This window comes from Homo sapiens, chromosome 12 (genome assembly GCF_000001405.40).
Source record: "Homo sapiens chromosome 12, GRCh38.p14 Primary Assembly".
NCBI classification, from domain to species: Eukaryota; Metazoa; Chordata; class Mammalia; order Primates; family Hominidae; genus Homo; species Homo sapiens.
In genome coordinates, this window is record NC_000012.12 from 11,587,659 (window position 1) to 11,593,658 (window position 6,000).

General features: G+C 43.5%; 1 annotated feature.

Annotated features, from left to right (window-relative positions):
- Positions 4,343-5,080: an enhancer, noted in NCBI's record as "H3K27ac-H3K4me1 hESC enhancer chr12:11744935-11745672 (GRCh37/hg19 assembly coordinates)". NCBI's record gives its function as "activates a minimal SCP1, AML or CMV promoter by ChIP-STARR-seq in primed H9 embryonic stem cells {active_cell/tissue: H9 hESC(primed)}" and the evidence as "EXISTENCE:reporter gene assay evidence [ECO:0000049][PMID:30033119]".

Genomic DNA, 6,000 nt, shown 5'->3' on the forward strand with positions numbered 1-6,000 from the left:
TTGGGTTTTCATCATTTACAAAGTCCAAACTTAAAACTTTTCTTTTTTCACCCATGCTTCCCCTTGCCCTGACCAGATAGGAAAAGATTTAATCAGTTGCCAAATTCTGTGGCTTCTTCCTCATAGACATCCTCCATATGTGTCCCATCCACTCCATCTAGCCCAGGCCCTGGGTTACAGTAATGGCTTCCTTACCACATTCCCAAACTCTAATCTTGCATTCTCTAAACATCCTCCAATTGCCGTCAAAAAGCTTCTAAAAAAGGTATGGTGGTGTGCGCCTATAGACCCAGCATCTCAGGAGGCTGATGTGGGAGGATCGCTTGAACCTGGGAGGATCGCTTGAACCCAGGGGGCAGAGACTGCAGTAAGCCAAGATAGCTCCACAGCACTCCAGCCTGGGCAACAGAGCAAGACTCTGTCTCCAAAAAAAAAGCTTCTAAAAGACTAAATGTGGCTGGGCACAGTGGCTCACACCTGTAATCCCAGCATTTTGGGAGGCCAAGGTGGAAGGACCACTTGAGGTCAAGAGTTTAAAACCAACCTGGCCAACACGGTGAAATCCCGTCTCTACTAAAAATACAAAAATTAGTCAAGCACGGTGGCAGGTGCCTGTAATCCCAGCTACATGGGACCCGGGAGGCTAAGGCAGGGGATTCGCTTGAACCCGGGAGGAGGAGGTTGCAGTGAGTTGAAATCGCGCCACTGCACTCTAGCCTGGGTGACAGAGTGAGACTCTGTTTTAAAAAAAAAAAAGAAAAAAAGAAAAAAAAAATACTGAATGTGTCAGCCTTCTCTTCAGTAGTCTTCAGTGGCTCCCTCGAACCCACAGAACAAAAATTAAACTCAAATGGCCTCAAACATCCTATGATTTTGGCACTTGCTTTTTTTTTCCACTTTGTCTCTCAGTATATCCTTCAGGCAAACATGACCACTCACTTATCACTAAATATTTCCTGAATTTTCCTGTCTCTATGCTTGCAATTTTCTCTCCATCTACCAGAATACAAATCCTACCCATTCTTAAAATGCCACTTCTTTTTTTTAAACCTTTGTTTGTTGTTTTTGAGACAGAGTCTCATTCTGTCGCCCAGGCTGGAGTGCAGTGGCACGATCTCAGCTCACTGCAACCTTCTCCTCCCAGGTCCAGGGAATCCTCTCACCTCAGCCTCCCGAGTAGCTGGGGTCACAGGCGTGCACCACCACACCCAGCTAATTTTTGTATTTTTAGTAGAGACAGGGTTTTGCCATGTTGCCCAGGCTGGTCTGGAACTCCTGGCCTCAAGTGATTAACCCTCCTCAGCCTCCCAAAGTGCTGGGGTTAAAGGCATGAGCCACCATGCCTGGCCATATGCTGCCTTCTTTATGAAACATAAAACCTCCCAAACATCAGCAAACTACATTTTCTTTGCTTCTAGAGCACTTGATACCTTTACTTTGCTTTATACTACAGTTATTTTAATATGTCTTATTTTCCTTTTAGGCTATAAAATTTCTTGAGGACAGAAACTTCTATGTTAACCATTAGTACCAAACATTAATAAGTTTTCACCAAATTGATTAGACATGTATATTTGGAAAGAGGGTTTGTTTCTCCTCTTATTTCTTCAAACTTTAATTCAGTGTTGGAATTAATGCTTCCAGTGGAAACTGTGAGACATTTATTACGAAAATCTAGGTAACTGCATCATTTTCTATCCTACCATTCTCATTCATTTCCTCTGTAAGAGGAGTCCCAGTTCAAAATAATTTCTGGGAGAAAATCGAATGCCTGATTCTGTCCCATTAAGAAAAAACATCTTCCAGCCTCACTCCCTTTCTTCTTTCCTTCTTCCTTCCTTCTTTCCTGTCTTCTTTTTTTCTTTTTTCTTTCTTTCTTCTAAGAGATAATCAGAATGCAAGCTATGGGCCAGATGCGGTGGCTCATGCCTGTAATCCCAGCACTTTGGGAGGCCTAGGTGGGCGGATCACAAGGTCAGGAGATCGAGACCATCCTGGCTAACGTGGTGAAACCCCGTCTCTACTAAAAATACAAAAAAATCAGCCGGGCATGGTGGCAGGCGCCTGTAGTCCCAGCTACTTGGGAGGCTGAGGCAGGAGAATGGCATGAACCCGGGAAGCAGAGCTTGCAGTGAGCCGAGATCGCACCACAGCACTCCAGCCTGAGCGACAGGGCCAGACTCCATCTCAAAAAAAAAAAAAAAAAAAAAAAAAAAATGCAAGTTATGGCTTAGGTATAATTGTAGGTGCCAAACTAAAGTCAACTTTTATTTGTGACTCTTTTGCCATTTTGTCAAGTCAGCAGTTCATCTTCTCTCTGATCTATGAAGACTGCACCTGAACTAGTTTGAGTCATGTTATTTGTATGACATAAAAATGGGGCATCTGATAACATCTGCTCCCTTTCTCTTATCCAAATCACGAATAGCGTTCCTCTCCCTTCCCTTAGTCACCAGCTTTTGAAGATTTACAATCTGTGATAGTAAAAAGAAATGGATTTTGAACTCTAAGCAGTCCAGTTAAAGTAAGGAAGCCACAAGAGAAGGAAACACAGAGTGAACCCTTAATAATAAGGACTTTTCTGTGTGCAGGAATGAGCTATGGAAGATGGGAGAGAAGAATGAGGATGGATGACTAAGAGCAATGAAAGCTTACAAAGAAACCCAAGAAGGCGAAATATTTGCTTATGAATAAACAGGAAGGGAAGAAATAGCTTTCTGCCTTTCTTGTAGTAGATACTCAATAGCCATTTATGTAAGAATTTGGACAGTCCTTAAAAGATAAGACTTGCATTCTTAGAATTGAGAATCAATAAGAAAAACTATTCTTTGAGAGAACCATGGTTATTTTAAGGCTATGGGATGACTTATATAAATGGTTTGACCAGAACTTATTTAAGCTCCTATCCACATACAATTCTATATAAACTGAGTTTTAGAGAGTCTTTGGTTCCAGGCATTTATAGCCTGAAACTATATCAAAATTTTTGCAGATAAGTTGCATTGAAAACAGTTGTTTTTAGACAACTTTATCCTGGTTTTTGCACCAAGTAGAGCCATTCAGCCAGCCTAATATTGCTAGGTTCACACAGTTACTAGGATCTGAAACAAACCTGATCAACTGGATTCCGAGTCCTCAACCTGGTTGGCCAAGGGCACTAGACAGATGTTACTGATACAGAGTCAAATAATATATAGGCAACTGATCTGATATGGAACCAGAGAGTTGGGATATGGTAGTGAAAATTGCATCAGATTTCTGCTCAGAACAACCTGAGTTTGAATCTTGGCTCCCTTGTGTAGACTTTGAGCATATCACTCAATTTCTCTGGTTCAGTTTCCTGTGGCTGTGAATGAAAAACTCCATTTCTCTCAGATTCAGCTTCCTGTGAAAAATTGGAATATAAAGTTGTGAGGATTAAATAAGACAATGTATAAGAAGGTAACTTAGAGTCTGCAAAGTGTTATGTAAATGTAAGGTATTATGAATTTTTGGTTATGGACTTGTTAACAAAGTGATGTGTTAACATTATGCTTAAGCAAAGGGTTTCCATTATTAGATTTGAGAGCAGGAGAATTATGTACAATATATATAGAGACAGGATGAGCCATCCACTAATTCAATACTAATTCAAATGTTTATTGGCAGCATAGCATACTATGTGCCAGGAGTGTTTTCAGTGTTGGAGATACAGCAGATAAAACAAAAAGATTATAATACCTGTCCTCAGGGACAGCATACAGATAAACAATGAACTAGTAAAAACAAAGAGGGCTGGCTGGGCACAGTGGTTCATGCCTGTAATCCCAGCACTTTGGGACGCCGAGGCGGGCAGATCACCTGAGGTCGGGAGTTCAAGACCAGCCTGACCAACATGGAGAAACCCAGTCTCTACTAATAATACAAAAATTAGCTGGACGTGGTGGTGCATGCCTGTAATCCCAGCTACTCAGGAGGCTGAGGCACGAGAATCACTTGAACCCGGGAGGCAGAGGTTGCAGTGAGCTGAGATTGCACCATTGCACTCCAGCCTGGGCAACAAGAGCGAAATTCCATCTCAGAAAAACAAAAACACAACAAAGAGGGCTGCAAAAAGTCACTTAGGTCAAATTTGGGATTATATCACTGTGAAGTTCACGTAGAATGATATTTTTCAGTTGCTGATGTCACAAAAAAAAGTGAAACAAACTATATATACACAACTAATAGACACTAAACTGATTTTTAAAAATCTCAGATTATCAGGAGGGAGTCACTTCTAAAGTCCTCCCCACCTCCAATCACTACTCCCCTGCCCAACCCACTCCCACAAGAATTTTGACTGGTTAAGAACTGGATCGAGGCTGGACAGAAGATGGGAACCCCGTGCTTTATATCTGGGGTTAATGTCCATGATATGACAGAATGTGTCTTGGAGAAAAGTAGCCTCGGGAAGGGAAATAGAGACAGTCCTGGGTGGTGGGCATAGAAGACGGTGGGAAGGTGGCATCTAAGCCTGAAGGTGAGGGAGCCATCCACATGGAGATCTGGGGGAATCCCATGCCCACCAAGAGGAACAAAGAGCAGATGGCCCTGAGCTGAGAGCACATCTAGTGTGCACGGGAGAGAGCAAGGGGGTCAAGGAGGCCACGGAGGAATAAAGGGCGGGGTGGTGGTGGCAGGAAAAGGTTAATAAAAAAGAAGATCAGAGGTAACTGGGCCAGATGGGGTGGGGAGAGCCACGAAAGACACTGAACGTCATGTTGTAGGACCTTCTTCTTGGTTCAGCTGAAAGCCAGGTTCTTGTCACAAGGCCATGAGAGATTCGGTTCGCATACAATTTGAATGGCGAGAAAAATGGAATATATTGGGCAAAAAAGAAAAAAAAAAGGAAGGGGGCGGAAACAGGAACTCTCAGCTGAGCGAGAGTCTTGTTAGCGGCTTTTTCTGCCTCACAGATTGAATCCCAGGTACCACCCCGGACCAGGTGGGGCCAGGCTCCTCCCACCTGCAAATGGCGGGAACCTCCCCAGGCTCCACCCCAGTGCGCATTCCTCCCAGTGCGCAGACAGGTCGGAGGTTCTGCAGGGAGCCCTTCCCACCTGGCTGTCTCTCTTACTCTGGGTGAGATGGGGAGCTGTCGAAAGACGTTGAGCAGAAGAGTAGCATGATCTGAATGCTCTCCAGGATAACTCAGGCCACTGTGTTGAGAACAGACTGCAAGGAGCAAGCACAGAGCAGAAAGCCCAGTGAAAAGCCATAGAAATAATCCAGGGTAGAGGTGGGGACCTGGACCAGGATGGGAGTGGTGTTCATGGGAAGTGGTTGGATTTGGTATGTTGTTTGCAGGTAAAACCAACAGGATTTGCTGACAAATTGGATGTGAGGTGTAAGAGAGAGGGAGGTATATAGATAGATTCCAAGCTTTTCAGCCTGAACAGCTGGAAGGGTCAATTGGCATTGACTGAAACAAAGGTGAGCAGGAATTGGCTTGAGTGGGATTAGCTTGAGAAGTCAAGGATCATTTTTCCACTTCCTTCTATTGTGGTAAGTGAGGGAGTCAGGATTTAATGAGCAAAGAAGGAGAAAGAATTTAGCCAATTGGAATGAAAATGGCATTCCAAGAGTAGGTGAGAACATAGATGCAAAATATGAGGGTGAATGATGGGCCCACCTAGTGAGTTTGCTGGAACGGCTTAGAGCAGATGGTTGAGTTGAGGAGTAGGGAGGAGAAGGCAGGAAGTTGAGGGAGCACAAGATGAAGACTTGTATCTTGTTGTTTTAAGATTCCATCACTGAGGCCACAGGAGCAGGCAGGAGGTAAAAAACAGGTGGTAGACGATATCCTGTTGGTTGTAGTCTTGAGATGTGTGAGTGAAGAGCAAGGTAAGAATTTCAACAAAGACAACAAAGGTAAAAAGAAAATATCAGTCTATGGCATATAGATGGGGAGAAATCTTAAGAAAAAAAGGCTGGATTTAGAATATATCATCCTCAGGCAGGGCGTGGAGACTCATGCCT